Below are 15,333 nucleotides of genomic sequence, written 5' to 3'. Positions count from 1 at the left end.
CAGCATGGGTGAAGGTTAGGAGGCAAAATGAAAATAGTCATCGGTTCTTTTGAGAAAATGAAAATTCAATAAGTTGGAGGATAATTCAAGCCATAAAGACAGATGAACGGCCATGTGCCGTGGTGCACACCTGTAATCCCAGCACTTTAGGGGCTGAGGTGGGAGGATCCCTTGAGCTCAGGAGTTCGAGACCAGCCTGAGAAACATGGTGAAACTGTCTCTACAAAAATTACAAGAATTAGCCAGGCATGGTGGCAAGCACCTGTAGTCCCACCTACTCAGGGGGCTGAGGTGGCAGGATTGCTTGAGCCCCCGGGATTGAGGCTGCAGTGAGCAGAGATCATACCACTGCACTCCAGCCTGGGTGACAGACCTTGCCTCAAGATAGATAGATAGATAGATAGATAGATAGATAGATAGATAGATAAGGTGTTTTTAAAAATCAGAAACAAAGTCAATAAAAAAGAAAAAAGGAGGCCGGGCATGGTGGGTCACGCCTGTAATCCCAGCACTTTGGGAGGCTGAGGTGGGTGGATCACCTGAGGTTGGGAGTTCAAGACCAGCCTGACCTCCATGGAGAAACCCCGTCTCTACTAAAAATACAAAATTAGCCGGAAGTGGTGGCACATGCCTGTAATCCCAGCTACTCGGGAGGCTGAGGCTGGAGAATCGCTTGAACCCAGGAAGCGGAGCTTGCAGTGAGCTGAGATGGTGCCATTGCACTCCAGCCTGGGCAACAAGAGTGAAACTTCATCTCAAAAAAAAAAAAAAAAAAAAAGAAGAAAGAAAGGAAAGAAAAAAGGATTAAGAAAAACAGAATAAAGACAGATAAGGCAGACAGTTTGGTGGAGGCCAGATAATGCAGGCTTCTGTCATAGAGCTTTTGATTTTCTTTTGGAGACACTGAGGGAATATTGAAGTGTTTAGGTTGGTGAGTGAGGTAGCCATATTTGTTTTTAAAAGATTACTCTTGCCCGGGAGCAGTGGCTCACCCCTGTAATCCCAGCACTTTGGGGGGCTGAGGCGAGAGGATCACAAAGTCAGGAGATCAAGACCATCCTGGCTAACACGGTGAAACCCCGTCTCTACTAAAAAAATACAAAAAATTAGCCACGCGTGTGGCTGGCGCCTGTAGTCCCAGCTACTCGGGAGGCTGAGGCAGGAGAATGGCGTGAACCCGGGAGGCGGAGCTTGCAGTGAGCCGAGATCACGCCATTGCACTCTAGCCTGGGCGACAGAGCGAGACTCAGTCTCAAAACAAAACAAAACAAAAAAAGATTACTCGTGTTGCAGCAAAGCAGATGTCCTAGAAGGGGCAAAGTTGGAAGTAACAAGAACAGTTAAGTAAGAGGCTGTTGCATACAAAAGGGATGGAAAAAAGTGGACCAGTTAAAGGAAGAACCTATAGGATCTAGCATTTGAACCTAAGTGATCCAGGACTATAGGTAGAACCCACCAGATCTGGCAATGTTGGGGAGAGTTAACGATGACTTTCAGATTTTTTACTTGGACAGCTAGGTAGGTGGTGGTGGGAGGGGGATAGGACAGAGGATGTTTTGAGGCAGAAGTTGCCTTCTTGGCAAAAGCAAAAGTATCTGTGGCTTTTCTGGTTTTCCTCTTTTCTAAACTATGAAATCAGATACCAATCCTTGCTTTATATTTTATGCCAGACAGCATTCAAGACTGATTGCAGTTTTCCATGAATGACCTGCAAGTATAAGAGATGTGATTTAATTTGTAAAAGATTGGCATTTTGGAGCAGTTCAAAAATTTATATTCTTATGTCACTTCTCAACATATGAGACGTGGATAAAATTTAGCCCTTGCAATATTGCTTCACATGACGTTTGGTTGGTCACTCTCTGGGGTTTTTTCTCTTAATTTTTAAAAATCAAAAATCTAGTACATGCACGTGGTTTTTAAAATGATCTAGTACCAACTACTAAATCTAAGTGGAAATAGTAAATACTAAATGGAAAGCAGCAACCCTCTCTCCAGATTCTACTCCTTAGAAACAACCACTTTCAATATTTCTTCTGGTATTTACTTCCATATTTCTACATAATGTCCTTATGCTTCTATTTATTTTTTTAAATTAAAGTGTCTGAATAAGTAATGAAATCACATTGTTCTAAAATGGAACATATAAAAAGATGTACAGTAAAGAGCAGTTCTCTTCCTCTTGTCCTCTATCCAATTCCTACCCAACTCCATTTCTCAGGTAACCACTATTATTTGTTTTTTGTGTATGCCTGCATATGAGAAAATACCATTATACATTTAGTCCTTTTCCCGTTTGCCCCAAGAATACTTGCTAGTAGTGCTTGCCACTGCAGCATTTGCCCTAAGATAACTATGCCACAAAATATCTTGCTTGTATTATTATTTTTGCATTGCTCTAGTATATCAACTTTGGAAACAAAAGACATAATTCTAATATTTATAGCATTACGTTTTTAGTAGTGGTATTTCCATTTACAAAATATAATATTTCTCAATCACTGAAGGTGGCAAATCCTAAAAAATGTAGCATTCCTATACGTGATGTTAACATTGTTCTCAAAGAGTTGTTGGCTGAAGATTCATTTGATGAATTCAATTTTTCTGAAATAGATGATTCTGGTGATTCAGACAACTCTGATGTTAGCTCTGTTTAGAAATAACTCCAAGAACAGTTTTCATATTTTATATTCGCATTGAAAATCAGTCAGATTTGCTTCAGTCTCTAAGAGCATGTTTATGTAAAATTAAATGAGCACTGGCAGCGAGCTGCACTTTCTTTCTCTTTTCTTTTCTTTTTTTTTTTTTTTTTTTTTTGAGAAGGAGTCTTGCTTTATCACCTAGGCTGGAGTGCAGTGGCGCAATCTTGGCTCACTGCAACCTCCACCTCCCAGGTCCAAGCATTTCTCCTGCCTCAGCCTCGCTAGTAGCTGGGATTACAGGTGGGCATCACCACGCCTGACTAAGTTTTGTATTTTCAGTAGGGATGGGGTTTCGACTTGTTGGCCCAGGCTGGTCTTGAACTCCTGACCTCGGTGATCTGTCCGCTGTTGCCTCCCAGAATGCTCGGATTAGAGGCATAAGCCACCATGCCTGGCCCACTTTGTTTTTCTAAACAAGAAAAGGGTTAATTTTTCTGCCCTTTTCTTTTTTTACACAAAAGGTGCTATACTAGCCTGTACCAGTCACAATAAAGGAGAATATGTTGCAATAACAAAAAATTCATGCATCTTCATGGCTTCTTTCTCCCACATGCTGTGTGTCCATCCTGGGCTGGCTGGGGATTCACATTTTCCTCACCCAGGATTGCAAACCAACTGAGTGTCTACCATCTGGAGGGTCATGTTTGTGATGGGAGTGGGCAGGGAACATGACTAATCACTCACTGGCCCTGAAAGCCTTTCTCCCAGAGTTGACCCATATCTCCTCTGCTCCAGTTCATTGACCAAAGCATGTTACATGGACCTGACAGATTAAAGCCTCACTGGCCCTGAAAGCCTTTCTCCCGGAGTTGACGCATATCTCCTCTGCTCCGGTTCATTGACCAAAGCATGTTACACGGACCTGACAGATTAAAGGTGTTGGAGACCGAAAGAATAAGGGTCATGATAAACTCAGTATACCTCTAGAGGCTATATGAATAAACAGCAAACTGTTCTCGTGAAAGCAGGATGTTGGCAAACTGACAAACTGCATCTGCCACCCAGAAGGAATGCTGAGGGTGGTCATGCCCAAGGAGCAGTGTTTCTTGTGATTAGGCACATGTGAACCTGTGATTAGTCAAGCAGCTGACCAATTGTTACCTCCTCCTCCCTGCTCTTTCTACCCAATAAATACGAAGGGCTGTGGAAGCTCAAGGCCCTTGCTCACTAGAAGCAAGGAGCCCCCTGACCCCTTCTTTAAAACAGATTATTTTGTTTTTGTTTTTCATTTCTGCATTCATCCCCCTTTGTTCAGTCCCATAGTAACCATCACAAGTGGTGCCTAAACAGGGACCTGCAGGGACAAATAGAGATAAATAGAGAAAAATAGAGACAATAGGGAAAAATAGGAACTAGAAGAGACTTGCAGGGACTAACAGGAACCGACAGGGACATACAGGGACATGAATGAAGAAGGTCTGCTGGAGCAGAGAAAGTAAAACTGACCAGATGAACGAGAAACCCCGGGACGAGTCTGCCGGCAGCTGATATAAGGTCAGTGTCCTAAAGAGGTACTGGGAATGGGAAGTTTCTGAATCAAGGTAACATGGGGCAGAATTTATCTATTCTTTCTGTTTTTGTTTGGAGTTTGGCCCATGCTGTTCTTTGCCATTGTTTCCTTCTTATTTAGCGGGACAGCAGGAGTTATGTTCTGAAAATTTGAGAGAGTCTTTTGCCCTACCCACAGCACCTATTGAAAATGGTGAACAGGAGAGGGAGGATGATAATTGGCTTGTACTGTCTTCTTCTGTGGCTGCAGAAATGCTAGCATTGGCTTTGGCTTTTGGGGATGCAAACATGGATTGTAAATGTGCACTGGCATCTGTGAGATGTACAAAAGGCTTAAGAACACCTGGAAGTACAGGATTAGATCTCCCAGTCAGAGAATGGGTTGCATTAGTTGGAGGAGACAAACTCGCCAATATTCCCACTGGTATTTGGGGACCCTTGCCAACAGGATGTATGGGATTAATTTTAGGCAAAAGTCATCTTAACCTACAGGGCATTACTGTAGTCCCAGGAGTTGTTGATTTGAATTATGAAGGAGAAATTCAGGTGATGGTGATGTCACAAGATCTTTGGGTTTTTGAACCGGGAGAATGTATTGCTTGACTGTTGCTTATTCCCTGTAAATTACACCCTTCTCCACTTAAGGAGAAATGAGAGAATAAAGGATTTGGGAGTACAACTAGGAGGGAAATTTATCTATCACAACCCATAGCATCTAATAGACCCACTGTACAGTGCAAATTAAAGGAAAGAAGTTTTATGGGCTTATGGATATGGGAGCTGATGTGTCAGTAATATCTAAAAACAATTGGCCCCCGTCCTGGCCTCTGCAATTAACTTCTACATCCCTAGTGGGAGTAGGAACAGCTCAAAGTGTTCAACAGAGAGCTGCGATTTTGCCCTGTCTTGGAGTGGATGGACAGTCATGTACTTTTCAACGTTATGTTGCAAATATAGCTGTTAATCTATGGGGTCAAGATTTACTTACAGCATGAGATATGAGACTTACAAATGAAACTATTGATAATCTAGGATTTACAATGTTAAAGAAAATGGGATCTCAGAGCAGAAATGTCTTAGGAAAGCCCCTCCAAGGAAACCCTGAATCATTATCAATAACTGAACAGACAGATAGAAAAGGGCTAAGTCATCAGGATTTCTGACGAGGGTCATTGATATTCCTCCTCCACCCACTGCTTTGCCATTAGAGTGGCTGACTAACAAACCTGTATGGGTGGAGCAATGGCCTTTATCACAGGATAAACTGATACCAGTATTTGTGATTCCAAAAAAGTCAGGAAGGTGGCGATTGCTACATGATTTGAGAGCTATTAATGCACAGATTAAACCAGTGGGTGCATTGCAGCAGGGTCTGCCATCCCCCGCGGCCATTCCGAGGGACAGGCTTCTCATAGTGATAGATTTTAAGGATTTTTTTTTGTTGTTGTTATACTATTGCACAAGAAGGATAGGCCTCGATTTGCTTTCTCTGCGCCTTCTGTTAATCAGAAAGAGCCTGTCTCTCATTATCAGTGGAAAGTTTTCAGTGGATTTACTAACATGGGGACAAGGGTATGCTTGAGTTTTTATAGGAGACGGACAAACCTTGTGGGTACCCTCAAGGTGTGTGCGACCATGGAACGGTAGACTGGAGGGACCTATGGATCCCAAGCACAGGCCTGGTTCCCCCAGTATGAGCCATGAGCCAGTTGAATCTGAATGCGAGAAGACAGAGCAAGGACTGACCGGAGTCACGCTGACATCAACCCCCATAACATAGGGACAGATCTTATTCAGTTAATGCAAAAACAAAAAGAGGGAGATGTTGGAGGCCAAAAGAATGAGGGTCGTGATAAACTCAGTTTACCACTGGAGGCTATATGAGTAAACAGCAAACTCTTCTCATGAAAGCAGGATGTTGGCAAACTGACAAACTGCATCTGCTGCCCAGAAGAAACGCTGAGGACAGTCATGCCCCAGGCGCAGGGTTTCTTGTGATTAGGCACATCTGAAGCCTGTTATCAATAATGTGAACCTGTGATCAATCAAGCAGCTGACTAATCATTACCTCCTCCTCCCTGCTCTTTCTACCCAATAAATTTATAGTAATAGTATTATTACCTATACTGTGGAAGGGCTGTGGAAGCTCAAGGCCCTTGCTCACTAGAAACAAGGAGCCCCCTGACACCTTCTTTAAAACAGACTCTTTTGTCTTAAGTTTTCATTTCTGCATTCATCCCCCTTCATTCAGTCCCATAGTAACCATCACACAAAGGGGCAGGGAAGTGGGAACTTATCTTGTGCCCAGGAGTCCAGGGAAGCTGGTGAACAGCGCAGATGATGATGTCATATACACACTGTTCTGCAGCTTACTTTTTTCAGCTAAGAAGATAATCATGCCATTTCAATAAATACAGAGAGCATCTACTGTGGATTGAATGTTTGTGTCTTCCCAAATTATATGTTGAAAACCCAATCCACAGTGTGATGGTATTTAGAGATGGGGCTTTTGGGAGGTAAGTAGATCATGAGGATGGAGCACTCATGATGGGATTAGTGCCCTTGTATGAAGAGACATGAGAGAGCTTCCTTCCTGTCTGTGTGCACCACCAAAGAAAGGCCACGTGAGGACATGACCTCTTGGGCTCTCACCAAGAACCTGCTCATACTAGCACCCTGATCTCAGACTTCCAGTCACTGAACCATGAGAAATAAATGTTTGTTGTTTAAGCCATCCAGTCTAAGGTTGTTTGTTATAGCAAACATATTCAAAAACACCCTTATTCTTTTTTAAAAGCTGATGGACATTTGCATAATTTCCAATATTTTCTTTATAAAAAATGCTGCAGTGAATAAACACATACAGATGTTATTTTGCCCATGTATGACACTGATATGGAAGGGGGGCAGGGAAGTGTTGGGTAGAGGAGGGCATGGCCCCTGGCTAGGGCTCCACCTCCAGGCCTGTGCCCAAGGAGCTAGGTGAGGACAGGCATTCCTGCCTTTGCATGCAAATGTTGCATTTCCCAAGACCACCCTGGCCTGCCATGCTCCCATCCTGTGCCGATAAAAACCCTGAGACCCTAGCAGCCACACACACAAGCCACTGGATGTTGTGAGGAACACATCGGTGGAAGAAGACACAAGTGGCTGGACGTCAAGAGGACATTGAGAGGAGCATGCCAGCGGAAGAGCACACGACAGACGCCAGCACACTTGCATGCCATCGACTGGTGGAACGAGGCAGAGTTTGTCCAGGGTAGCTGGAGGAGAGCCCAAGATGCCAAGCAGCCTGATTCCAGGGGAAAACCATCTCCCTTTTGGCTGCCCCATCTGCTGAGGGCTACTTCCACTCAATAAAACCTTGCACTCATTCTCCAAGCCCATGTGTGATCTGATTCTTCTGGTACACCAAGGCAAGAGGCCTGGGATACTGATAGCCTCTGTCCTTGCCATAAGGCAGGGGTCTAATTGAGCTGACTAACACAAGCTGCCTATGGACGGCTAAACTAAAAGAGCAGCCTGTTAACACACGCCCACTGGGGCTTCAGCTGTACATGCCCCTAGACACTGCTGTGGGGTTGGAGACCCACAGCCTCACTGACTGTATGCTCCCCTAGAGGTTTGAACAGCAGGATACTGAAGAAGTGAGCCACACCCCCATCACATGCCCTGTGAGGGGGACAAGGGAACTTTTCCTGTTTCAAGTGTGTTGCTAAGTGATATGGTTTGGCTGTGTCCCCACCCAAATCTCACCTTGAATTGTAGCTCCCACATGTCATGGGAGGGACCCAGTGGGAATCATGGGGGCAGATCTTTCCTGTGCTGTTCTCGGGATAGTGAATGAGACTCATGAGATCTGATGGTTTTACAAAGGGGAGTTTCCCTGCACAAGTTTTCTCTCTTGTCTGCCACCATGTAAGACATGCCACCTGCCTTCCACCTTGATTGTGAGACCTCCCCAGTCACGTGGAACTGTGAGTCTGTTAAAACTCTTTTTCTTTATAAATTACACAGTCTTGGGTATGTCTTTATCAGCAGCATGAGAACACACTAATACACTAAGATAAATGTCCAGAATGGAACTGTTGGGTCATGGGGTGTACACGTTTGTCATTTTGAGAGGTATGGCTGCATGGACCTCCCCAGGGGCTAGGCCAGTGTGCATTCTTACCAGCAATGTGTGGGCATGACTGCTTTCCCACGGCCTTGCTGAGGGAGTGTACTTTGAACTTTTGGGTTTTCAACAGAATAGGCAAAAATATTCTCTATTTAGTGTAAATTATATTTTGCTTATTATAAATAAAGTGGAGTGTTCTGCTACCTCTTGATTTTTAGGCTTCCTAGAATAGTAAGTGACACTTTACTTCTCCAACACTCACCCTTCCCATGCACACATTCCCTCTCCCTCTCTTCTCCATTTCCAGTTATGCCACAGCTCTGGGTTAATTCAGCGATCAGTCTACATCATTGTGTCATGAAAATATATTTAGTGGCCAGGCGCGGTGGCTCATGCCTGTAATCCCAGCACTTTGGGAGGCCAAGGCAGGTGGATCATGAAGTCAAGAGATCGAGACCATCCTGGCCAACATGGTGAAACCCGGTCTCTACTAAAAATACAAAAATTAGCCAGGAGTGGTGGCGCATGACTGTAGTTCCAGCTACTTGGGAGGCTGAGGCAGGAGAATCACTTGAACCCAGGAGGCAGAGGTTGCAGTGAGCCAAGATTGCACCATTACACTCCAGCCTGGGTGACAGAGCAAGACTCCAACTAAAAAAAAAAAAAAAAAAAAAAGGAAAAAAAGAAAGAAAATATATTTAGCTATAGTGCCAGATCATGTTCTATAATTAAATTTTCTCTAGTGTGCTCTCCCCACACCCCCGCCGACTTGATGATTGCCTTTGCATTTTTTACCCATATACTATTCATCTTTTTATCCTTACAGGTTATTTTTCCCTACTTGTTTTCACTGGATCTAGTACATGTCTGCTAGTAGTTGTTCACAAATGATCAAATACAAATTTATTAGGTAATTTATTGATTTCATTTTTTCCTGGAGACTTCCTTCCCAGAGCCATCCATCTGTCAGCCTGCACTATTTGCCCTCCAGGCCTCCTTCTTAGACCCGCTGTACTCCTCTTTCTTGGATTACTCTGTGTTTAATTAGAGCACACCATTCAGTAATTTTCAGAAAACTCTCTGTTTATGTCTTATTGCCTTACTGAAACTCACTTTTGATAACAGACTAAAATGGCATTCTAGGGTAAGTGTCTTTTACCCACCAAACAATGAAGACATTATTTCATTGACTACTAGTATCACAGTGATGCTGTGAAGAAATATGATTCTGTTTTGATTCCTATTTGTGGCAGAGGCTTCTATTTCTCTTTCAGTATCCATTTTTTTCCTTAGTAAAATAATGCCTAACTTTTAGCCTGGCTGGAGATGACATTCCCTAGCCCTCCTTGCAGCACTTTATGGACATGTAACTAAGTTCGGCCAGTGGAGTGTTGAGTTGAAATGATATTTTCCACTTTCGGATTATGCCTGGAAGGAATCAGCAGCCAATGGCCTTTCCCATTCCCTTCTTCCCCATGGACAGGTGCAGACATGATCGGGGGACCTGGCTGCCACCTTGAATTCTGGGTTGGAAGCTGTGTGATGAGGTTCCCAGAGCTGCCATTCTTGCTCTGGACTTTACCTCTGAACTGTGATATGAGTTCAGAATAAATTTCTGCCTTGATTATGCCACTCCACTTTTATACATATTTCTATATTAACACTGCTTAGATTCTTCATTATTATAGTTTCTTTGTATATGACCTGTTAAACCAAGTTTAACCTAAAGTTTCCTCCTTACATATTTTAAGTTTGAACTAAAGGTTTCTCTGTACATAGTGAACTATAACCTAAATGGAGAGATAAACACTGTAACCTACTCTTGCACCAATCACCGAGTTTTGGCTAATCAAGCTGTTAAACAGTGTTCAAATAAGGCTGGGCTGTAACCAATCCAGCTTTTTGTGTATCTCTTTTTGGTTTTCTGTCCGTCACTTTCCTTTTTCTGTCCATAAATCTTTTTCCACCACGTGGCTGTGCTGGAGCCTCTGAGTCTACTCTGGCTCTGGAGGCTGCCCAATTCACAAATAATTCTTTTGCCCAGTTAAACTCTGCAAAGTTGCTTTGTCTAAGGTTTTTCTTTGAACAGATACCTTGGATTTTTTTTTTCATTTCCTCTGTCTCTGAAAGTTTTAGGATCCTCTTTTTATCCCCTGCTTTCATGCTTAGAGTCCTGTCACAAGCTTTTAAAATTCAGGGTGCTGGGTACTCTGTGTCTTTTAAATCTGAATGATTGTGTTTTTCAGTTTCATAGAATGTTTTGTGTTATTTATTCAAGGAGTAACTCCTTTTCATTTTCTCTGTAGTTTCTATTTGAAATTTTATCATTTAGCATTGTCACCTTTCCTGAAGTCTTTTCTTTTCTTATTTCCAATTGTTTGCTTGTACTCATCTTCACTTTCTGGATTTCATCTTTTAACCCTTTTGGTGCATTTCTCTAAAAAATTAAAGCCATATTATTTTCCATTTCCAAGAGCTCTTTCTCATTATTCTTTTTATTTCTGTGAAGATGTTTATTATAGGTTTTGATTTTCTTTCATGTTTATGTGATCCTGTTTGTGTTGTCTTTTTTATGTTGGAGACTGTCAAATGTTTGGTGATGTGTGGCTGTTGGTATAAGAGTGAAATGGCTCTAAGTGGACTGGCACGACTTGTCAACAGAGGGTGACTGGGTTGCAAGTAAGCCTTAATTTTTTTAAAATTGATGCATAACAAATGTATATAGTTTCAGGCCATTTGTGATAATTTAATACATTCATATAATTTGCAAAGATTAAACCAGCGTAATTGGGATATGCATCACCATAAATATTTATATTTTCTTTCTGCTAAAACCATTCCTATTCTTCTCTCCTAGCTATTTTGAAATGTGCAATAGATTACTGTAACCCATAGATACCTTACTGATCTACAAGCAAGTCTTTTTCAGTGGGGGCACACCCACATGTCAGCATCCTGAAAACTCTTCTCCAGAGCAGAGTAATTCCTCAAGAGGAGAGTTCTATAGTTTACCAGGAGAAGGAGATATCACATGTATACTCCAAACTAGCTTTCACATATAAAGATATTGATTCACTTTAGCAAGCCAATGGTTTTGAATATTTTCCCCTAGCAGTTATGGCATATGTATGTGTGTTTATATACTAATATGGTTTGTCCGTGTCCCCACCCAAATCTCATCTTGAATTGTAGCTCCCATAATTCCCATGGGTTGTGGGAGGGACAGGGTGGGAGATAATTTGAATCATGGAAGCAGTTCCCCTATACTGTTCTTGTGGTAGTGAATAAGTCTCACAAGATCTGATGGTTTTATACTGGGTTTCTCCTTTCACTTGGCTCTCACTCTCTCTTGCCTGCTACCATATAAGATGTGCCTTTCACCTTCCACCATGATTGTGAGGCCTCCCCAGCCATGTGGAATTGCGAGTCTATTAAAGCTCTTTTTCTTTACAAATTACCCAGTTTCAGGTATGTCTTTATTACCAACATGAGAATGGACGAATACATTTACTTAACAAATATTTAGGCTGAGTCCCTCTGTGTGTGTGTATGTTTGTGTGTGAGATACTAGGAGGACAAAATTGAGAAAATCCACATTTTGGCTCTGTCTTGTAGCAGGCAGGATCACAATGTATTTCCAGGTAATGACTGCTGTGATGGGGATGGGGGTGGTGTAGAGGGAAACAGGAACCAAGGGTTCCCATATCAGAAGTGTGGAGTGGGCCAGGTAATGTTACAGCAGCTTGGAGGTCTTCCAGGTGGGGCACTCCTAAGTTAGGTTGAGTATCAAGGGAAGGAGTCAGCCAGGTACAGTGGCTCATGTCTGTAATCCCAGAACTTCCGGAAGCTAAGACAGGAGGATTGTTTGAGCTCAGGAGTTTGGGCCACATGGTGTAACCTCGTATCTACAAAAAATACAAAAATTAGCTGAGTGTGGTGGCATATGTCTGTAGTCCCAGCTACTCTGGAGGCTGAGGTAGGAGGATCGCTTCAGCCCAGGAGGTTGAGGCTGCAGTGAGTCATGGTTGTGCCACTGCACTCCAGCCTGGGTAACAGAGTGAGACACTCTCTCTTAAAAAAAAAAAAAAAAAAAGGGAAGGAAGCCTCTCACAGTGTGAGAAGCTGTGCAGAGAAAGTGTGAAAATAAATACAGTTTTAAAGCTGTTGGGACCTGCTTCCCAGCGCCCCCCCAAAAAAATTAAGCCTAGATAGAGATGACTGTGATCTGAGCCACATATGGTTACAATTTATGGTTCTCAGACTATGGATTAACTTGCTTTCTTATTTTTCTTGTTCTGTACAATGACTAGAGAGAATTAAACAAAATCAGAGACAAAAACTTCCCGCCTTTTTAATGAATAGCACGTGCTAAAGATTAACTTCCCTTTTGTTGTCCTGCTTTGCTTAAACCAGATGACAGAAAATCTGTGACTATCATACCCTCTGCAAAAAGATGTTAAAATATACCCTTCTCAAAAGAAACATTGCCTAAAACCTAATTTCTGTAACTATGTGCCAACCTTGTATGAATAATGTAATCCCACCAAAAACTCCTCTGTCTCCACCCATATACATGAAATCTTAACTTCCCTACATTGCAACACCGACTCCATCCCTTTGGAGTTGGTGTTTCTGGGCGGTCCATCCTCATGCACTTGAATAAACGCTCTTTAAATTAGATTCTGACCCTTTCGATTATATTAGGTTGACAAGAGAAAACTGAGTATCTTAGTAGAAAAAAAGCACAGGGCATGAAAAGACAATTTGCATGAGCAGAAATGACCAATGAGCACATGAAAATTTTCCGGATCAGAGGTAGTTCAAACACTGCAGGAGGAAGCAACACCGAGGTTTGATTTCTTTCTAGTAGCTGACATAAAAGGTAGAGGGGTCTGCTACCATCCAACGTTCATGAAGACAGGGGGAAAGGGGCTCTGTTGTACTCTGTGGATGGAAACATACAGTGCCATGATTTTCAAAGACAATAAATTGGCTTTATTCCACTTCTATTGAAATACCTAGGCTGGGCGCAGTGGCTCACGCCTGTAATCCCAGCACTTTGGGAGGCCGAGGCGGGTGGATCACGAGGTCAGGAGATGGAGACCATCCTGGCTAACAGGGTGAAACCCCGTCTCTACTAAAAATACCAAAAATTAGCCGGGCATGGTGGCGGGCGCCTGTAGTCCCAGCTGCTGGGGAGGCTGAGGCAGGAGAATGGCGTGAACCCAGGAGGCGGAGCTTGCAGATGGCGCCACTGGACTCCAGCCTGGGCAACAGAGCGAGAATCCATCTCAAAAAACAAAAAAAAAGAAATATCGTAAGTGTATACCAAGAGGAATAATAGTCTGTTATACATATATTTAATTTACACAATGTGTGTAAATGATAGATATATAAATATATAATATAATATTTTAAAATTCAGAATAACCTAAATGTCCAACGATAGGTAAATTATATAGTTGTATATTATATAGTTATTAAATGATGTTGCAGAGAATAATTAGTGATATTAAAATAATAAAGATACATTAAATTTTAAAAGTTCACAAAATGATATGTATATATATACACACACATAAAATAATGTGTAAACACACACACCTACTTGCATGTTAATAAAACAACTGAAATATCAAACATCAAAATATTTTAAATGTGGAGGTACAGAAAACTTTTTAAAAACTTATGTATGTTAAATAAAAATTTTAGGAGGCCATTGTTTTAGACTGAGTTTCTGCACTAGGCCCCAACACACTGGACTAAAAATCAACATGGAGTCACCCAAGCTAAAGTTCCACATCACCAAACACAAACTAAGTTGCTATCTGACCTTCTGAGAAGCCAGGAGAAAGAGACAGCCAATTTCCCAAATGGACCAGATTAAATCTTCAATGGGTGTAATAATGCAGTTCCCTCTTCTTTAATCCTTACACCAAAGAAGTAGTCTGAAGTAACCTGATATTAATTAATCAGTTCTTTTTCTATTGTTCTGTCTAAAAGTAACTGATAAACTCTTCGTTCTTTGCTTCTGCTTTCTTCAGCACTCCTCTGTCTATAAAGCCAAACTCTCTTGCTCAGCTCATTGGAACACTTATTCTGTTTTATGGAAAAAAGTCTTGCCTATTCTAGAATTGCAAATAAAGCCAACTGAGATGCTTAAACTTGTTGTAATTCTGTCTTTTGATATCTATCTCTTCTAAATTTTCTATAATAAATATGCATTGTTTCTATAACGAAAGAACAACAGTGAAATATTTTCAAACCAACTGGGATTCACATCCTGCTGGGTTCACCTTGAGTGGAGAGTTGAGGCACACTTTGAAGGTGAACCAAGCAGGACTTGAATTAGTTGTGAAAAGTGGAACAGAAATTATGCATTCACCATTCAAAACTTATTTGCATTTGAAGCGAGGTCCCCAGACCTTAACATAAAGGAACAAAATTTTTTTTTCTTGTTTCATAAGATACAGTAGCACTATTCTCAAAGGACAGAAGATACAGATCACCTTACCAAAAGAGCAAACAAATTTATAATCTTTTTATATTTCATAAGATACAAAATGTCTATTTCCAAAGGGCAGAAGATGTAGACTCACAATTTCTAAAGGTGGTAGTAATGGTGGGAATTTCTGACCCTATTTGAAGAAGGAGGGGAGATACAGAGATCTCTGAGCAGGTGCCTCTGACATTTTAGATCATGCTTTGGGGCAGCTGCCTGCAGAGAGAGCTAAGGACACAGCTGATTTCTGCAAAAGACGCCAGTCTTTCTGTGGATTTCCAGAGGCAGGACCATGACTGGTGAGAAGCCATAAGGCTAGCTGACCACAGAACAGATACTGCAGGAAGAATGGAGGGGTCTTAGTGTTACTGGTGGAAAGAATCCGAGTTGCCGACAGCAAATCCATACAGGTCTGCAGCAACTTCAATTCTTGCCTCCTCAGAAGAAAGAATTCGACTGAGGGGCATAAAGCAGAAAAAAAGACTAAGGCAGGAAGGGCG

Source organism: Homo sapiens, chromosome 3, assembly GCF_000001405.40.
Source record: "Homo sapiens chromosome 3, GRCh38.p14 Primary Assembly".
NCBI lineage: Eukaryota > Metazoa > Chordata > Mammalia > Primates > Hominidae > Homo > Homo sapiens.
This window is presented reverse-complemented; position numbering follows the sequence as displayed.